Raw genomic sequence first — 21,284 nt, 5'->3', positions numbered from 1 at the left:
TATACTGGAAAAAAAAATCACTACAAGTGTGGAGAATTTGACCAGGCCTTTAACCAGTTCCAAACCTTTATTGTACATAAGGGAATTCATATTGGACAAAAATCTTGTAAATGTAAAAAAATGTAACAAAGCCTTTAACCAGCCCTCACACCTTAATGAACCTAAGAGAATTTATTTTTAAAAACAATTTTTTTTAAAGATGGAATCTCACTTTTTCACCCAGGCAGGAGTGCAGTGGCACTATCTTGGCTCACTGCAGCCTCTGCCTTCCTGGTTCAATTGATTCTCCTGCCTCAGTCACCTGAGTAGCTGGGATTACAGGTGCATGCCACCACACTGGCTGATTTTTGTATTTTTGGTAGAGATGGGGTTTCAGCATGGTGGGCAGGCTGGTCTCGAACTCCTGACCTCAGGTGATCCACCTGCCTGAGCCTTCCAAAGCCTAAGAGAATTTGTATTAGAGAGACCCTACAAGGGTTAAAAATGTGACAGAACCTTTAAGCACATCTCAGGCCTTACACAATATCTGATCATTCTTTCTACGGAGAAGCCCTACAAAAGCAAAGAATGTGGTAAAGCTTTCAACTAGTCTTGAACCCTTATTATACATGAGAATTAATACGAAGAGAAACCCTACAATAAGGAATATGGCAATGTCTTTAAAAAGTCCTTAAACCTGAATAAATGTAAGATAATTGATATTGGAGAGAACCCCAGCAATTGTAGAAAAAAACATGTGGCAAAGCCTTTAACTGGTTCTCCATCCTTATTAATTAAACAATTTCATACTGGAGAGAAACTCCACATACATAAAAAATGTGATGGAGCATTTAACCACACCTCAGTCTTTTCTAAGAAACAAACCATACTGGTGAGAAACTCTAGAAATGTGTTCAATGTGGCAAGGCCTTTAAATGGTAGTCACACGTTTATGGTAGGTAAGATAATTTATACCGAAGAAAACTACAACTATGAAGAATGTGGCAAAACTTTTAACAAATTCTCACACCTTATTGCACTAGAAAGGATTTATGTTAGAGAAAAATTGTACAAATACAAGAATGTGAAAAGCCATTAATATCCACTCACATCTTAATATCAGAAAGTTCATACTTAATAAAAGCATTAAAGGCCGGGTGTGGTGGCTCACGCCTACAATTCCAGCACTTTGGGAGGCTAAGGTGGGTGGATCATGAGGTTAGGAGTTCAAGACCAGTGTGGCCAACATGGTGAAACCCCATCTCTACTAAAAATACAAAAATTAGCAGGGTGTGTTGGCATGTGCCTGTAGTCCCAGCTACTCGGGAGGCTGAGGCAGAATTGCTTGAATCTGGAAGGCAGAGGTTGCAGTCAGCCAAGATCAAGCCACTACACCACAGCCTGGGTGACAGGAAGACTCTATCCATTATAAATGTGATTACATTATAAATGTGATTACTATAAAAAGACCTTTCAGAAAATATAGGTCTTTAAAGACTATTTATTCTGAAGACAAACATTACAAAAAGAGGATTGTAGTACCTTTACTTGCATTACAGATTTTATTGTGCACATTTTATATTAAAGGAAAACCCTGAAGCAGATGCTCAGACTTTGTTGAACATCAGAGACTTTATATTGGAAAGTCTAAAAATGTAATGAATGTGAAAAAACATTTGTACAAAAACTACAGCTTAGAAAACACCAGTTTATGCTAAATATTTTTGCAGATCTAGTAAATGGGGAAAATATATTTAATCAAAAATTAAGTCTATATAAACATTTGAGGATTCACAATAGAAAGAATGAAGGCACTGAAACTTCAGACATTACACTAAATCAGAGTGTTGAGTGTAAAAAAGGTCCAAAGGTAACACTATATACATTGTAAAGTAGATTTTTTTAGAGATTTATAGTTACATTCGAGGTATGCTTCTTTTTCTGTGAAAAACATTAGATTTTCTGAAAAGCAAATAATAATGTATCTGAAGTCTCAGATTACTTCATGTTGATTCTTTCTTCCCGTTGTGAAAGTATTTGTGTGATTGTTGCATCAGAGATATGAGAGATAGTTTTTTATTAGATGTCCATTATTCATGAACTTTTCTATGGAAGAGTAAGGACATTAAGTTGTAAGATGCATAATGAAAATGTAAATGGAGAGGCTCTTTGTTGTTGACTTAACATTGTTTTAGTGATGTATAAGGCAGGTGTTCAGAGTAATATTCTGAATTCTAGTGAGAGGAAAACGTTTGAATATTAGTAGTAAATTATTTTATCAATTGTACTTTTATGTAAATAAAATGCAATAAATTTTTTAAAAATTTAAAGATTATGTGTGAACATAATTTTTTCATTAAACAAAGTTGTTTTTAATATGATAAAACTATAGTGCTTTGAACGAAGTGTTAATTTGCCATCTTAAGGTTCTAAGTAAAAGACGGTAACAATATACTATTAATGTAGGGGAATGACATCTCTAGTAATACCTTTTTTGCCAGTGTTTTTTGTTTGTTTGTTTGTTTTGAGATGGAGTCTTGCTCTGTTGTCCAGGCCGGAGTGCAGTGGCACGATCTCGGCTCACTGCAACCTCCGCCTCCTGGATCCAAGTGTTTCTCCTGCCGCAGCCTCCCAAGTAGCTGGACTGCAGGCACATGCCTCCACACCTGGCTAATTTTTGTATTTGTAGTAGAGATGGGGTTTCATCATGTTGGCCAGGCTGGGCTCGAACTCCTGATCTCAGGTGATTCACCTGCCTCGGCGTCCCAAAGTGCTGGGATTACAAGTGTGAGCCACCACACCTGGACTGCCAGTGGTTTTTAACTGCAAATAAGTTGAAGAATTTTTTTTTTCCCATAGGTCAAATTTGTATTCAGGCAGAAGTCTTCTGCAGGGGCAGAGCCCTCATGGAGAACCTGCGCTAGGGCAATGCAGAAGGGAAATGTGGGGTTGGAGCTCTCATGCAGAGTCCCCACTGAAGCTGCCAACTGGAGTTGTGAGAAGGCCACTATACTCCAGACCCCAAAATGCCAGATTCACTATGAGCTTGCACTGAGCACCTGGAAAAGCCACAGGCATTCAATTCCAGTCCATGAAGGAGCTGCTCAAGGCCATGAGGGCCCACCCTTCGCATCAGCATGATCCACGTGTGAGACATGGAGTCAAATGAGATCATCTCAGACCTTTAAGATTTAATGACTGACCCGACCCGTTGGAATTCAAACTTACATAGGGCCTGTATCTCCTTGGTTTGGGCCAATTTCTCCCATTTGAAATAGAATTTATCTAATGCCTGTACCCCTATTGTATCTTGGGGGTAACTAACTTGCTTTTGATTTACAGGCCCATAGGCAGCAGGGACTTGCCTTGTCTCAGATGTATGTAGACTTTTGCGTTAATGCTAAAATGAGTTAAGACACTGGGGGACTGTTGGGAAAGTATGTTTGCTTTTGAAATATAAAAAGAGCATTATATTTGGAAGGAGCCAGGAACAGAATGATACCCATGGTCTTCTCATGATAGTGAGTAAGTTCTCATGAGATCAGATGGTTTTATAAGTGGTAATTTTTCCTCCCTTCCCTCTCTCCTGCCACCTAGTGAAGAAGATACCTGCTTCTCCTTCACCCTCTCCCATTATTGTAAGGTTCCTGAGGCCTCCCCAGCCATGTGGAACTGTGAGTCAATTAAACTTCCTTTCATCATAAATTATCCAGGCTTGGGTAGTATCTTTATAGCAGTGTAAAAAGAGACTAAGGCACAAATATAAGATAGGGCTGTCTGTGTCCTAGATGCTTCATAATCAGCCATAATTATTCCTGCTGGAGTTTCTTTGTAACTCTCAGCCACAGATGGAAAATATTCATGGTGAAACTGTAACATTGATTCTGCATGTGCAGAGGACATCTGTTCCCAGGCTGCCTCTGAATTTAAATAAAAATTCTGCTTTTTAAATTTTCTGATTATCTTTTGTTTTGTGTCTTTTTATGTCTATCCAAATGATGTGTCCATCACAGCTCTTCCCCTTTTTTCTGTACTATGGCTACAGCTTTCTCACTGTTCTCTCTGTACAATGTCATTTCACACAGTACTTTGTAGGTTCTGATGAGAAGTTTGGAATTTTTTAATATGGTGAAAAACTGTGTTAAACTTGGGAGTTTGAGCTTATTTATAGCTTCTCGATGTAACTTCCAGATCACTTAATTGAGATAAGAGGCATACACTGTCTACAGGTGAGAAGATTAAATCAGGAAGCACTGTTTGTCTTAGTAAAAATTTTTTATTAGATTCTAAGACAAAGTGTAGCATATACAAAATTAGTTAGAAAATATATTTTAGAAATTAAACTTATCAGAGAGTTAATATTAAGGGATAATTAAATGTAATTTTTATCATATATTTATAGCACAACTTATGTTTTCATGCAGAATCATGTATTTTTTAGTGTGAATGTTAAATGTTGCAAATAAAATGAGCTCTGTGGATTTACAATTTGGAATATTTCTTTTTTCATATTAATGTTACAATCTTGAGAGATTTTTCCATTATTTTATGATTATTTTTGAGTGGGTGAGGTTCACAGTCTATAGTTTTCACTCTTAGTCACCTAAGTGTAGCCAACATTTTGGGCATTTTTCTGGGAAAATTTTGGAGATTATGGCAGCTTTTGGGTTAAAACATTTACTCAGTTGTTTTTCATGCAAAGACGTTTATTGTGTTCACAACCAATCATGTGACAGAGGGCAACACCTGATTTTCAGTGTCTTCCATTACATTGCCATCAGCACCAGAAACTAAAGGTGCCCAAGCTGAAAGTAAAAGCCCTAAAGCACATTGGCTCGTCCCATGCTCTGCTGGACCCACAATATGCAGAGTTTCTATTGCTATTGCTGACAAATTAAATAACAAACAGCACAGAAAAACTGAGGAAAATGCATTGATACATTTTTTAGTTCTTTATAGAAATTTATGGTTTCTAAATATTATAAGTTAAAACAATTTCAACATGCAGATATCTCTAAGTTCTAGCTAGATGATGGTACTAATGTTGGAATCACTGATCATTTTGAGCAACAATTGCCCTGTTTGGTCTACTGCAAAGCAATTATTTCTCTTCTAAACGTAAATAGTGAAAAGGGTTTCTATGATCGTAAGTATACAAGGTCTTTTAAGATGATCACTAAGATTAAAATTCACACCTATTTAGTAACATAAATTTTAATTATTTTCTAACAGAAGTGAAGAAGCAGTAGAAATAAATTGTTAAAATGAGCTCAAAGAAACTACACATGTGGTCATTAAATAACATTTAAAACCACATTGTAAGCGACTGATTAGTAATTCTAATTTGTTTCATTTTAGTAACTGAGAAAACAATATTCTTTAATCATTCCATATGAAAAAGTATTCTTTTATTAGTGTTTTCAAAACTTTCAGGAACTTTAGAGCACTCAATGAATAAGGTTGTACATTTAGATCACAAATTTTAAATAAAATAATAGGCTTATTCTAGCTTTTTTTTTTTCAGATGGAGTTTTACTCTTTTGCTCAGGCTGGAGTGCAATGGCGTGACATCGGCTCACTGCAAGCTCTGCCTCCCAGGTTCAAGTGATTCTCCTGCCTCAGCCTCCCGAGTAGCTGGGATTACAGTCACTGCTACCACACCCGACTAATTTTTATGTTTTTAGTAGAGATGGAGTTTCAATACATTGGCCAACCTGGTCTCAAACTCCTGACCTCAAGTAATCCACATGCCTGGCCTCCCAAAGTCCTAGGATTATAGGTTTGAGCCACTGCACCCAGCTTCATTGTAGCTCTTAGTGTAAAAGCTATTTTTCAAAAGTATCATTAGTGACTCTTAAGTAATGAGAGGAATGACGTGGTTAGAAAGCGTTTACCAACCAAAGTATTTATGTTAGGCTTTGTTATGAGTACTTTGAATGCAAAATGAAGTTCTCCATACTATCTAAGGGTCAAAAAAGTTGTTTTTAAATTCTGCTTCATTTCTACTAAATTAGAAAATTCAAACTAAAAATGTTAAATAAAAAATGGAAAAAAAAACATTGAGTGTGAGGGGGCTGGCCATAATGGTTAATATTAAAACTCAATATCTGGTGGTCTCTGATTGCATCCTGGTTCTGACACTTATGGGCTGTGTGACCTGGAGGTAGTTTCTTGACGTCTCTGTGCTTGACTGTTCATCTTTACAGTAAGGATAACACTACCTAAATCCTAGGTTTTTGGTAAAATTAAAGCAATTAATACAAATAAAGGTGTCAGAAGAGTGCCTAGCATATAGTGAGTGTACAGAAAATTTATTAGCTCTGGTGATTTGTATAGTGTTTTAGATCAGAACCAATGTTAAGCCTGGGAACAACAAGGTGTCCACACCAGGGGGTTCAATCCATGTTCATTTTAATTGGTCAGTTTGGGACTATAATAGTCGATGGATATTTTTAATATTATCCTTGGCAAATTTTCATATATTCTCATACAGCATGAATATAAATACTAAAGAAAGATCCCTCATCTTGTACTGCTTTTTACCACTCTAGAAATGCCAGATAATAAACACTTAAATGCTGAGTGTTGTTCAGTTTTAAAATTAGGCAAAGAGGCAAATTGTTTTCTGATCTACTTGTTTAATAAATTATTTTTTGCCAACTAATTTTTTATGTTCACTTGATAAATTTAAAGGTAGTTTAAAATCAATATTTAAATAACTTTTCTCTATAAGTGAAGGAAATCATTTATCTTGAGAGAATTTTACTTTAAACAGTTGCTTTAGAGTCTGTCTTTGAAAGTATTCTATTATCAAATAAGACCAGGCGTGGTGGCTTATGCCTGTAATCTCAGCACTTCATAAGGCCGAGGCGGGCGGATCACCTGAGGTCGGGAGTTTGAGACCAGCCTGACCAACATTGAGAAACCCCATCTCTACTAAAAATACAGAATTAGCCTAGCATGGTGGGACATGCCTGTAATTCCGGCTACTTGGGAGGCTGAGGCAGGAGAATCACTTGAACCTGGGAGGTGGAGGATGCAGTGAGCCGAGATCACACCACTGTGCTCCAGCCTGGGCAACAAGAGCAAAACTCCATCTCAAAAAAAAGAAAGCAAGCATTGTATTATTCTGAACAGTGATAATTAACATTTTATTGAGTGATAAGCCATGTGTAATTAAAAATACATGTATACTGTTCCTGAAATTATAAGATATGAAGAAACATTTATTTCTCTGGCCCTATTTTTTAAAGTTAATAAAAAAAACACATGTATTACTGGGATATTTGGTTGACAAATTAAAATTGTATACATTTATGTGGTACAGTGTAATGTTTTGATACGTGTATAAAATATGGACTAATTAAGTCAAGTTAACTAACATCTATCACCTCACTTACCTATCATTTTTTGTGGTGAGACATTAAAACTTACTGTTATTTTGAAATATACCTACATTATCATTGATTATAATCGCCCTACTGTGCAATAGATCTGAAAACCTCTTTATCCTGTCTGTAAAACTTTGCATTCTTTTATCAACAACAGCCTCTGATAACCAATTTTTCCACATTCTACTTTGTTATTTCAACTTTATTAGATTCTACACATAAGTGAAATCATGCAGTATTTTTCTTTGTGTGTCTGGCTTTTGTACTTAGCAAAATATCCTCTAAATTTATCCATATTTTTTCAATTGACAGTGTTTCCCCCTTTTAAGGCTACATAATGTTCCATTGTGTATACTATTATTCTAAATGTATATACCATATTTAGAACAAAATTGTAATTTATATATTCATCTATTGGTTGGAAAACTCAATGTGTAATGGAAAAATATTTGTTTGAAAGCATGTATTAACATAATTCAGCATATAAATATCTCATTAATAATAGCAAATTTGTACTGAGCATTAACCATAATACTATACATGTGTTAATAAATTTTGTTCGCACAGTGATATGGTCTGGCTGTGTCCACACCCAAATCTCATTATGAATTGTAGTTCACATAATTTCTATGTGTCATGGGAGACACCTGGTGGGAGGTAATTGAATCCTGCAGTGAGTTACCCTCATTCTGTTGTCTTGATAATGCGTAAGTTCGCATGAGGTCTAATGGTTTTATAAGGGGCTTTTCTCCCTTTTGCTCAGCACCTTTTCTCTTCTGGCCACCGTATAAAAAAGGACATGTTTGTTTTCCCTTTCATTGTGATTGTAAATCTCCTGAGGCCTCCCTGGTCATGCTGAACTGTGAGGCAAGTTAACCTCTTTCCTTTATAATTTACCTAGTCTTGGGTATGCCCTCATAGCGGTGTGAGAATGGACTAATACACTCAGTAACTTAATAACAAAGGTATTATTATTATCCTCAATTTACAAAGAAAGAAACAGAGCCACAGAAATAACCTGCTCACAGTAGCAGAGCCAGCATTAAAACACAAGGAACTTTGACTCCAGAGATAATACTGTTGAATACAACAATAAAAACACTTTCAAACAGAAAATAAGTTATCTTTAACATCCATTCTTAAAAATTTAACAAAAATTAAAAATGGACACATTTGTATTGTTATATAGGTATGTATGTGAATGTATAATATAAATGAGAAATAACTTCATATAAGCCAGAAAAATCATTATTTTAATGAATAAAATTGAAAAGCAGTGAAATTAATTATTATTTGCAGATGATATCTTCGTTTTCTTAGACAACAAAAGCAACTAAAAGGCTATTTTAGAAATCTATTCAGGTGGGTAGGCAAAATTCTCAGAAGACCCTCAGGTTCCCACTTCAGTGCACACCTGCTGTGTAATCCTTTTAGTGTGAGAAAATGTGTGACTGTGGCGGGACATTATTCATGTAATTAGGTTACTAATCAATTGGCTTCCTGTTTATCATAAGAGAGATTATCTTGATTAGACTAAACTTAATCAGAGGTGCTTTTAAGAGAAAGAGCACATTATAGAAAAACATCCCTGCTTCCCTGAAATTAGTCAAACTTCCAGGTAAGCCAGATTGTAAGCTGCTTATGGTGGCCACATGGCAAAGGACATATTTTTATATTGTCTCTATTTCTGTCTTCAACATGTTGCTTTCAGTAGGGAGAATAGGAGGATCTCTTGGCAGGGAAAAAAGAAGGGATCTCATTTATGCAAGAAATAATCACCCCTCATCTGGGACAGCTTAAGAAAAACAGAGACCAGAACATGATCACATGAATGGGAAATAAAGGCAACTTGGTTGCAAGGGCTCCCTGGCATTAGGAAGCAATGTCTACACAGCCGAAGTAAATGGTCAGCCTCTGGGATACCAACAGTCTACCAACAAGGCTGAATTCTTTCTCATTCTGATTAAATTAGCATTTCTGCACCATTCAGGTAACTCAGTTTTACATAATTCATGACAAAAATGCCATGCAGACAGGTGAGTGCCCTCCTAGAATTGAACTTATCATGAAAAAACATACCCAATTCTTTAATTTCCACATTGGAAAATGTTGAAAAAACAATTTATTAATAATAATCTGACGTTATAATTTTAGAGAATTCTACTATTCTGTAATAGAATATTGAACTTTGAACACCTTAACATGAATATTTCTTGAATGCATAAATTGTTATGTAGATAGTTTCTCTTAGATTAATGCAATAAGACTAACAATCAGAGAAAACATTTGAAATAAAAGTCATCAGAACCACATCTTTCAAAGGCTTGGCATAATTGCCATGCTCTTTGAAATGGTCAAGAAGCAAAGACAAGAGTTTGGCTTTGCCAATTATTAAGTCCTTGAGCTTTTGAAATCTGATATCCTGGCTAAAAAGTTAGGAGGGACTGTTTTTTAGGTGGCTGCCTAGAGTGTCCAATGCAATGTGAGAAGAATTTTAATATGCAAGAAAATGCATGTTAAATACACATATTACTCTTCTCTGATTTGCCTTAACACAGAGATTGGAAATTGCAAATGTAGTCCTTCAATTTAGGGTAAGTTAACAAAAGACTCATGTTTCAGCTGAGCAAGTTATTGTATGAAACTTATAGGTAATAGATGTCATTAGCTGCAAAAAACAAAATAATGTGACTAGATTCAGTAATTGTCTAGCCAGGCAAATGATAGACCAATTAGATTAAGATCCTAACAGGTGCATGTAGAAAGCATTTATGTGCAATGTTGTGACCTTCCCCCAAACACCTGTCTCCTTACAGAGATACCAATTTTTCCTGAATGACTCAGGGTGAATACTGGGGACTGAGAATGCTCAGTGTTCAGAGTTGATTACTGGGAACAGAGTTAACACATTTCTTCTATATTATGAAGAAATTTTATGAATATTACTCTGCCTCAGAATGGGTTTTTATAAAAGATTGTTCATGTATAACACTCTATTTGGATTCATGGAAATTTTCAATATTCCATTTAAGTCAGAGACACTGAAATGTCAACCAAATTTCATAAAACATGTTTGAATGAGATCAAACCTTTCTTAGCTAAGAATTTTATTTCATCAGTAAATTTAGAGGAAAATAAGAAATGTGTGTACTCTGGGCCAAATCACAGTGTTTGCGACATGGGAACAATTCAGACAAGTGCTCTTCAACATCACATCACTTTTTTTTTTTTTTTTTTTGAGAAGGAGTCTCACTCTGTCACCAGGCTGGAATGCAGTGGCACGATCTTGGCTCACTGCAGCCTCCACCTCCCAGATTGAAGCGATTCTCCTGCCTCAACCTCCCTAGTAGCTGGGACTACAGGCGCATGCCACCATGCCCAGTTACTTTTTGTATTTTTGGTAGAGATGGGGTTTCACCATGTTGGCCAGAATGGTCTGGATCTCTTGACCTCGTGATCCGCCTGCCTCGGCCTCCCAAAGTGCTAGGATTACACGTCATCACTCTTAAAGTAGTAATAGCACCACATCAATTTCCTGGTACCAGCTCGCCTGTTTTTCACTGATATGAAGTGCAGAAGGCATTGAAACCATGAAGAAGGGTGATATAAATGGAATACTTATATGAAGTACAGTTGTTAATAAAAAGCATTTGATACTGTACAACTATAGGTAAACGATTAGTAGGAGATAAAAATATTTTTACTTTAATTGACAATAACTTTATTCACAATATTTCCATTTCAAATAACTATTTTTGCTCTATATTTGCTGGTTTTTTATCTGATATTACCTGAGCGCAATAGGAATCAACAAAATGAATATTATACCACAATAATTTTATTAATGCATATGCTTAATTTGCTGAAAATATATTAGCTTACTATTAAATATTTATACTTTTATTGTGTCATTTTTTGCTCAGAAGTGGCCGTCCTGCCAGAAAACTGCTATTCTCAGCTCTGCTCACATTGACTTTGCTCAGCATAGTGATTGGAAATGATGTGTGGATAAAAAGCAAATATGTCTTCTTTGCATCTTTTTTCATCTGTTGGGTGAAGGAAGAGGAAAATGCAGTTAGAATATTTTTACAAATCTAATCTCCGAATAATCACAAAGAAGTTTTCTTAACCAGAAATAAACCAAAGGGGATGTCTATGTAAGCAGAAAATGTATTATTTTGCTAAGCCTTTGAAATTTTAGGGTTTATTACTATGGCAATCTGCATTGCTTTAACAAACATATTAGTCTTTCAGTTTTAATTCTTCTGGATATGATTCAATTTCCTGATGAATCTGAACTGAGAGCAGAATAACATTTTTAAAAATTAAAGATGTGGGGAAAAAATATGTTGACTGAAATAAAATAGTCAAAAAGAGACAGACAAAACAGAAAGTAAAATGATGTTCTCCAGAAGCAGAAAAGAGAGAAGACAGTTTATTGGACATTAAATTGTACTTTTTAAAGATAAAATTGATCCAGAGATCTCTTTCAAAAAATGTAAATATACTTAAAAGTACTAAACATATAGTTGAAATGTACAACTTTAAAATGTTTAAGATAGTAATTTTATGTTTTTAATCACAAATATTTATATGTATCAAAACGTTATATTTTTCAAAAATTACTTCAAATAACAAGTGTTTTTCTCACTCAACATATATTCAAACAATAAATAGATGGTAATTTTAGACTGCCTTTTTTACTACTCATCTAGGCAATGAAACACAACCACCTGAGAAAAGAAATAAACAAGATAATTAATAAAATGGGGCAATATTTGTACAGGCAAATATCACATAAGTAACTTTTATAGGCAATAGACATGTCTGACTTATGGGGCCAGGCGTGGTGGTTCACGCCTGTAATCTCAGCACTTCGGGAGACTGAGGCGGGTGGATCACGAGGTCAGGAGTTCGAGACCAGCCTGGCCAGCATGGCGAAACACTGTCTCTACTAAAAATACAAAAATTAGCCAGGCATGGTGGCCCACCCTGTAGCCCTAGCTACTCAGGAGGCTGAGGCAGGAGAATTGCTTGAACCCAGAAAGCAGAGGTTGCAGTGAGCTGAGATCTCACCACTGCACTCCAGCCTGGGCATGACAGAGTGAGACTCCATCTCAAAAAAAAAAAAAAAGAAAGAAATGTCTGACTTATACTTGTTTCTTTAAATTTGCCCCAAGTGAAACCCAGCAATTTATATTTTAATTAAACACCACATTTTTATAAATAATACAGAGTGAAAAATTACCATCCAAATCATAAATATAATGTTAAAAACAAAAATACAATTTATTAATCAAAGGAAACCTATATGAAAAAAATGCAGTAAAATGGAGTTAAAAAATGAAACATGTTGACCTACAAAATACTGAATATTAGCATAGATGTATCAGAAAAATAATTCTTTAAATAACTAAGTTTTCAAATGTGAACTTTGGCATGTTTAATTATTGGCATGCAATGTATAGCAGTAAAATTTCACAAAAAATGCATTATAAGAATTAATAAAAGACTAATGAAAGTGGAACCTTTTAATTAATAAGTATTTAAAAGATACTAGGTAATGTTATGTTATTAATATATGGGTGCTATTACACAAAATATAAGATCTATAATACAGCCATATGAACAAGAAAATAATATTGCAAAGCAAAAAATATATAATTTTTATAATACTGTGAGATTATATATAAAATAAATATTGGTATTAAATTACATCATTATTTAGTTACAGGTGGAGAAAAATGAGTAAAATACTAGTGATACGTGTAATGGTGGTGGATGAATTGCTTTTAACTCAGGGATAAAAGCTACAAGACAAAAGTATTAAAAATACATATAATTGAAATAATTTGTTATTAGATACACAGTATAAAAATGTAAAGTGATATAAATCATGTATTGAGAGTAAAATCGTTGAGTCTCTATACATAGAGGCTCAATTGTTATTATCTTAAGCTAGACTGTTACGAGATGTTTTATGTAAGTCTCTTGGTAATTAAAAGAAAATTTGTAGTATATACACAAAAAGGAATCAAGAGGCTGGGAGTCGTGGCTCACGCCTGTAATCCCAACACTTGGGGAGGCTGAGGCGGGCAGATCACCTGAGGTCGGGAGTTCGAGACCAGCCTGACAAACATGGAGAAACCCCCATCTCTACTAAAAAAACAAAATTAGCCACCACATTAGCCATGCGTGGTGGCGCAGGCCTGTAATTCCAGCCACACGGGAGGCTGAGGCAGGAGAATCGCTTGAACACAAGAGGCAAAGATTACAGTGAGCGGAGATCACGCCATTGCACTCCAGCCTGGGCAACAACTCAAAACAAAAAAAGGCCGGGCGTGGTGGCTCAGGCCTGTAATTCTAGCACTTTGGGAGGCCGAGGCGGGTGGATCACGAGGTCAGGAGATCGAGACCATTGTGGCTAACATGGTGAAATCCCATCTCTACTAAAAACACAAAAAAAATTAGCAGGGTGTGGTGGCGGGCGCCTGTAGTTCCAGCTACTCGGGAGGCTGAGGCAGGAGAATGTCATGAACCCGGGAGGCAGAGCTTGCAGTGAGCCGAGATCGTGACACTGCACTCCAGCCTGGGCAACAGAGCAAGACTCTGTCTCAAAAAAAAAAAAAAAAAAAAAAAAAGTAAGCTCTCTGGCTCTCTGGTGCACACCTTCTGTAATTCTTATGCCTTTGGCCATTTTGTGATGTGGAAATATGATTCTCATCAGATGTCAATGGGTTGGTCTTGGACTTCCATAATCTAAAATTGTGAGCTAAGTAAACTTCTATTCTTTATACAATACCAACTCTAGAATATTCTGTTATTAAAGCAGAAAATGAAAAGATTCACAGAATGTCTAAATAGATTTTAAGGATCAACAGTATGCTTCACACAGGTGACTTATTTTAGATTTAAGGGCACACATAGGTTAATGGTTAAAGAATTTTAAAAACCCATACCAATAATAATTGAACGAGTGTAAGTGTGGCTATATTTATATCAGAAAAAAACAGACTTTTAGAAAAAAATCTGTCCCAAGAGACAAAGATCACTCTATAATAAAAAGAGGATAATTTGGCCCTCCGGCCCCGCCCCACAGGGTGGCCTGGCAGTTTGGTCTGGAGCAGCTGAAACTGGTTTGAGCGTAGCCGCTTCCTGCCGCGACTGGCCGCCCTGGGGAGCGCTGGCGAGGCACCGACAGCGGGGGTCCGATACCTCTGCCCGCGGTACTCTCTCTCGGGCGGGGCGGCAACGCGGACCCGTGGACTAGCGAACCCGGCAGCACGACATCATAAAATAAACCCATCAGAATGACACCTTCTCAGGTTACCTTTGAAATAAGAGGAACTCTTTTACCAGAAGTTTTTGCAATATGTGGAAGCTGTGATGCTTTGGGAAACTGGAATCCTCAAAATGCTGTGGCTCTTCTTCCAGAGAATGAGACAGGTGGAAGAAGCTAAGATTGTATCAGAATGAGGGCAATGCCCTAAAACCTGTCTTAGCAGAGCCAGCATGTTATGGAAAGCAACCATTGTACTCAGTAGAGGAGTATCAGTTCAGCATTGCTACTTCAAAGGGTACTTTTTAGAACCAAAGACTATCGGTGGTCCATGTCAAGTGATAGTTCACAAGTGGGAGACTCATCTACAACCACGATCAATAACCCCGTTAGAAAGTGAAATTGTTATTGACCATGGACAATTTGGAATCCACAGTGGTGTTGAAACTCTGGATTCTGCATGGCTGGCATGTCAGACTGAAATAAGATTACGATTGCATTATTCTGAAAAACCTCCTGTGTCAATAACCAAGAAAAAATTTTAAAAATCTAGATTTAGGGTGAAGCTGACACTAGAGGGCCTGGAGGAAGATGAGGATGATAGGGTATCTCCCACTGTACTTCACAAAATGTCCAATAGCATGGAGATATCCTTAATATGTGACAATGAGTTCCAGTGCAGGCATTCACAGCTGGAGTGTGGTTATGGCTTACAGTCTGATCGTTGGACAGAGTACAGCATACAGACAATGGGACCAGATAACCTGGAACTAATCTTTGATTTTTTTGAAGAAGATCTCAGTGAGCACATAGTTCAAGGTGATGCCCTCCCTGGATGTGTGGGTACAGCTTGTCTCTTATCATCCACCATTGCTGAGAGTGGAAAGAGTGCTGGAATTCTTACTCTTCCCATCATGAGCAGAAATTCCAGGAAAACAATAGGCAAAGTGAGAGTTGACTATATAATTATTAAGCCATTGCCAGGATACAGTTGTGACATGAAATCTTCATTTTCCAGTATTGGAAGCCAAGAATACCATTGGATGTTGGCCATCGAGGTGTGGGAAACGCTACAACTGCCCAGCTGGCTAAAGAAAATACTATTGCTTCTTTAAGAAATGCTGCTAGTCACGGTGCAGCCTTTGTAGAATTTGATGTACACCTTTCAAAGGACTTTGTGCCCATGGTATATCATGATCTTACCTGTTGTTTGACTATGAAAAAGAAATTTGATGCTGATCCAGTTGAATTATTTGAAATTCCAGTAAAAAAAATTAACATTTGACCATCTCCAGTTGTTAAAGCTCACTCATGTGACTGCACTGAAATCTAAGGATTGGAAAGAATCTGTGGTCCAGGAGGAAAATTCCTTTTCAGAAAATCAGGCATTTCCTTCTCGTAAGATGGTTTTAGAGTGTTTGCCAGAAGATGTAGGGTTTAACATTGAAATAAAATGGATCTGCCAGCAAAGGGATGGAATGTGGGATGGTAACTTATCAACATATTTTGGCATGAATCTGTTTTTGGATATAACTTTAAAAACTGTTTTAGAAAATTCTGGGAAGAGAGAATAGTGTTTTCTTCATTTGATGCAGATATTTGCACAATGGTTTGGCAAAGGCAGAACAAATATCCCATATTATTTTTAACTGAAGGAAAATCTGAGATTTATCCTGAACTCATGGACCTCAGATCTCCGACAACCCCCATTGCAATGAGCTTTGCACAGTTTGAAAATCTACTAGGGATAGGCTGGGTGCGGTGGCTCGCGCCTGTAACCCCAGCACTTTGGGAGGCCGAGGAGGGTGGATCACCTGAGGTCAGAAGTTCAAGATCAGCTTAGTCAACATGGTGAAACCCAGTCTCTACTAAATATACAAAAATTAGCTGGGCACCGTGGTGGGCACCTGTAATCCCAGCTACTCGGCAGGCTGAGGCAGGAGAATCGCTTGAATCCGGGAGGCGGAGGTTGCAGTGAGTCGAGATCACACCATTGTGCTCCGGCCTGGGAAACAAGAGCGAAACTTCGTCTAAAAAAAAAAGAAAGAAAAGAAAATCTACTGGAAATAAATGTACATACTGAAGACTTGCTCAGAAACCCATCCTATATTCAAGAGGCAAAAGCTAAGGGACTAATCATATTCTGCTGGGGTGATGAAAGCAGTGATCCTGAAAAGAGAAGAAAATTGATGGAACTTGGAGTTAATGGTCTATTTTATGATAGGATATATGATTGGATGCCTGAACAACCAAGTGGAGCAACTGGAATGCCTGAAGCAAGAATTGCCAGAGTGTAAGGGCTGTTTGTGTCCCACTGTTAGCCACTTTGTTCCCTCATCTTTGTGTGAGGAGCCTGATACCCATGTGGATGCCAATGGCATTGATAATGTGGAGAATACTTAGTTTTTATTGCACAGAGGTCATTTTGGGGGCATGCACCGCTGTTCTGGGTATTCATTTTTCATCATTGAGCATCGTTGATCTATGCCTTTTGGGCTTCTCATTTCAACGAAACAATAATGAAGTATTTAACTCTTTCACTATAGTTCTTGCAAGTATGCTATTTAAATTACTTAGCCAGGTGTAATTGCCAGTCAGTCTCTTTACAGTGAGAAAATGTATTGGTTGGTAATATAAATATTTTAAACTAAATATATAAATCTATAATGTTAAATGTTCATTAAAAGCATAGCACTTTGAAATTAAATATATAAATAGCTCATATTACACTTACAGCTTTTCGTTTGATCAGGTCTGAAATCTTTAGCACTTAAGGAAAATGACTATGCGTAATTATACCTGACCATGGAAAAAATAAGTACCTCAAATGCATGCATTTGCACTGGTGATTCCAACTGCACAAATCTTTGTGCCTTCTTGTATATAGGTATTTTTTACATGGGTTGACATGCACATAACAGCATTTTCTTTCAGTATGAACCTTGAGGCTGCTGCCATTTTTCCACTTAATCAAACCAGCCTGAAGGTGAACCTTGAAACTTGTTTCATAAATCTTTCAAAAGTTGTTTTACATCGATATTAAAATTTCAAGATGCTGCAGGGTAATTTAATGTATAAAATATTAGTAAGAAAAAGTATGTATTGCATACTTAGTAGAATAGATCACAACATATAAATTCAATTCAGTGCATGCTTTAACTGTTAAGCATGAGGTTGTACATGTTTACTGTTAGGTCCTTGCATCCATGGTGCTAAATGAGTATGAGAAGATGTCAAGGACTGGACATATTTTGTTGCCTTAAAAAAAATGGCTGTAGGCATTTTAAATATGCTTATTTTGTGTGTCTCACTACCTATTACACACTGTTGCTTTGTGGGTTTTTTTGTGTATGTGTGTCTGGAACAGTAGTTAAATTTCCATGCAGAAAAATAAATGTACTGAATTCTCATATTAGTATTCTTTATTGTATATCATGCATGTAATTTATTTAGAAATGTAGAAGGTCTTACTAAATGTATATGCATGTGTTTCACATTATACTAGGATTTCTTGGATTAGAAGCAGATTGTGTTAACTGTAACTTAAGAATGAATATTAAATAAAATAATACAGATTTTGTTTTCATTACAAAATGAAAAAAAGAGGATAATTTGTCAAGAGGATATAACAATTAAAAAATATATGCACCCAATATTGGAGAACATAAATATATAAACATATATAAACAGAACTTTAGAAAAAACAAATATGACAATAATAGAGGACTTTGTTACTCTACTGAAAACAATAGATTATTCAGACAGAAAACTAGAAAGAAAACAATGTGCTTGGATAGCGCTGAGGAACACTGCAAACCCCGGACATATGTAGACTATTTCATGTAGCAGTATGAGAATACACATTCTTATCAAGCACAAATGGAACATTATCCATGATAGACCATATCTTGGGCCAACAAAAACAACAAGCTCTATTCAAATTTAAAAAGATTAAAATTATAGCAACTTCTTTTTGTTTTTTGTTTTTGAGATGGAGTCTCGCTCTGTCAACCAGGCCGGAGTGCAATGTTGTGATCCGAGCTCATTACAACCTCCACCTCCCGGATTCAAGCAATTCTCCTGCCTCAGCCTCCCAAGTAGCTGAGATTACAGGCATGCAACACCATGCCCAGCTAATTTTGTATTTTTAGTAAAGACGGGGCTTCACCAATGTTGGTCAGTCTGGTCTCAATCTCCTGACCTCAGGTAATCCAACTGCCTAGGCCTCCCAAAGTGCTGGGATTACAGGCAGGAGTCACTGCACCCAGCCATATCAGTTTTTAAAATTACAATTTAATAAAACTAGAAATCAATAGCCCAAGAAAAATTTTAAAACTCACAAATATGTGGGCAGTAAACAACATGTTCCTGGACAACCAATGGGTCAAAGAGAAAAAGCAAAGGGAAATCAGAAAGTATAATGAGAAAAAAGAAAATAGAAACAACATACAATAAAAAAAACCCACAAAACCGTTCTAAATCAGAAGTTTATAATGCTATATTTCTATATTAACAAAAAGGAAAAGATGTCAAATAGAAAACATAACTTTAATTCACAAAATACTTGAAAAAGAACAAATAAATAATCCCAATGTTAGCAAAATAAGGAAAATAACAGGCCGGGCTCGGTGGCTCACGCCGGTAATCCCAGCACTTTGGGAGGCTGAGGTGGGCAGATCACCTGAAGTCAGGAGTTCGAGACCAGCCTGGAAACATGGTGAAACCCCGTCTCTACTAAAAATGCAAAAATTAGCCAGGTGTGGTGGCAGGCGCCTGTAATTCCAGCTACTCAGGAGGCTGAGGCAGAAGCATCGTTTGAACCCAGGAGGCGGAGGTGGCCATAAGCCGAGATTGCACCACTGTACTCCAGCCTGGGTGTCAAAAGCAAAACTCTGTCTCAAAATAAATAAATAAATAAATAATAAAAATAAATAAAAGAAAAAGAAAAAATAATAAAATTAGAACAGAAATAGATTTCATAAATATTGAAAAGACAAGAAAAAAGATAAAAAGCAGAGAAAGAATTTACATGTAAAAGGTATTTAACATTTTAAGAAAAAAAGAAGAGTAAATTCCCATTTTTATTTTTTAGTTGAATGATTAAGTGTCTTGTCTTTATTTTGTATTTATGCTTACAATAAGCAGGTCCAAAAAATTTATCCTGAACTCATGGACATATGATTTCCAGTAGGGTTTGTATTTAGGCATCAGAGGTGTGGCCTTGTGTTTGTGAAAGAGTGTTTGTGGAAAAGAAGAAGACAGAATAAGAGAAGGTGTTATAAAAAAAAAAAACCTATGGGGGCTGGGCGCAGTGGCTTATTCCTGTAATCCCAGCACTTTGTGGAGGCCGAGGCGGGTGGATCACCTAAGGTCAAGAGTTCGAGACCAGCTTATCCAGCATGGTGAAATCTCATCTCTACTAAAAATACAAAAATGAGCTGGGCATGGTGGTGGCACCTGTAATCCCAGCTACTTGGGAGGCTGATGCAAGAGGATCTTTTGAACTTGGGAGGAAGAGCCTGCAGTGAGCCGAGATCCTGCCACTGCACTCCATCCTAGGTGAAAACAACAAAACTCTGTTTCAAAAAAATAAAAAAAGAAAGAAAGAAAAGGAAAGAAAGAAAGAAAGAGAAAGAAAAGGAAGGAAGGAAAGAAAGAAAGAAAAAAGAAAGAAAGAGAAAAAGAAAGAAAAAGAAAGAAAGAAAGAGGGAGGGAAAGAAAGGAAGAGAAAGAAAGAAAGAGGGAGGGAAAGAAAGAAAGGAAAAGAAAGGGAGGGAAAGAAAGAAAGGAAATAAAGGAAAAGAAAGAAAGAAAAGGGAAAGGGAAAAGGAAAGGAAGGGAAGGGAAGGGAAGGAAATGAAACGAAAGGAAAGGAAAGGAAAAAAACCTATGGGTAGGGAACAGTACCCAGTTGGTGAAAAGACTGGCTAGTGCTACGGACACTGGTCCAGACAGGGTAGCTCTGACTTATAAATGTGTGCATGCAGGCAGATGGGAGGGATGGATGACCCAGAAGCCTAGGCTAGTGGAGAAAATGGGTCACTGGTGCAGATTCAAGATCTGGGCATAAAAATAAGCCATGAGTCCTCTCGGCACTTACATAGCCTATTGGCAGAAAACTCTAGAAGGAGAAGTTCTCTCAGCACAATTTCTGAGGGTGAAGCCTTGTCATGGGAGGAGTGTGGCTACATCACTGCCCAGTGTGCATGGGTGTGAGTGTGCAGGAATCACTTTCTAGCAACAGGGTGGGGACAGGAGCCTGTCCTCAGAGTTGCTTTCCTTTGAGTTCTCAGTTTCCTCTGAACCCGGATGAGACCTGGAATCACAGGACAATTCACAGCGCAACAGCTTGTGTGCAGAAGAATAGAGTCTCCATTCCCCAAAAGACCCACAGTCTCCCTCCAACCAAGGCTGCTGTGATGTCTTTGTTCTCACACCAAATATCTGGCATTTGCTGAACACCAGCCAACTCTTCAACACCAACTGGATGTTCAACAACTCAATTCTGACAGAATCCAGAGTCACCATGACCCGACCACTTCAGGACTCAGTTCCTCAATATAGTCCCCAATGCACATGCCAGGGACAAGCACCAGGGGCCCATCTATACCCCTAAGCAGGTATGTATAAATCAT

General features: G+C 37.0%; 2 pseudogenes; both read left to right on the top strand.

Annotated features, from left to right (window-relative positions):
- On the top strand, positions 4,496–4,869 carry VN1R27P (vomeronasal 1 receptor 27 pseudogene; annotated as a pseudogene).
- On the top strand, positions 14,501–18,248 carry GPCPD1P1 (GPCPD1 pseudogene 1; annotated as a pseudogene).

This window comes from Homo sapiens, chromosome 7 (genome assembly GCF_000001405.40).
Source record: "Homo sapiens chromosome 7, GRCh38.p14 Primary Assembly".
NCBI lineage: Eukaryota > Metazoa > Chordata > Mammalia > Primates > Hominidae > Homo > Homo sapiens.
The sequence above is the reverse complement of the archived record's forward strand: the minus strand, read 5'-3'. Positions and strand labels throughout refer to the sequence as shown.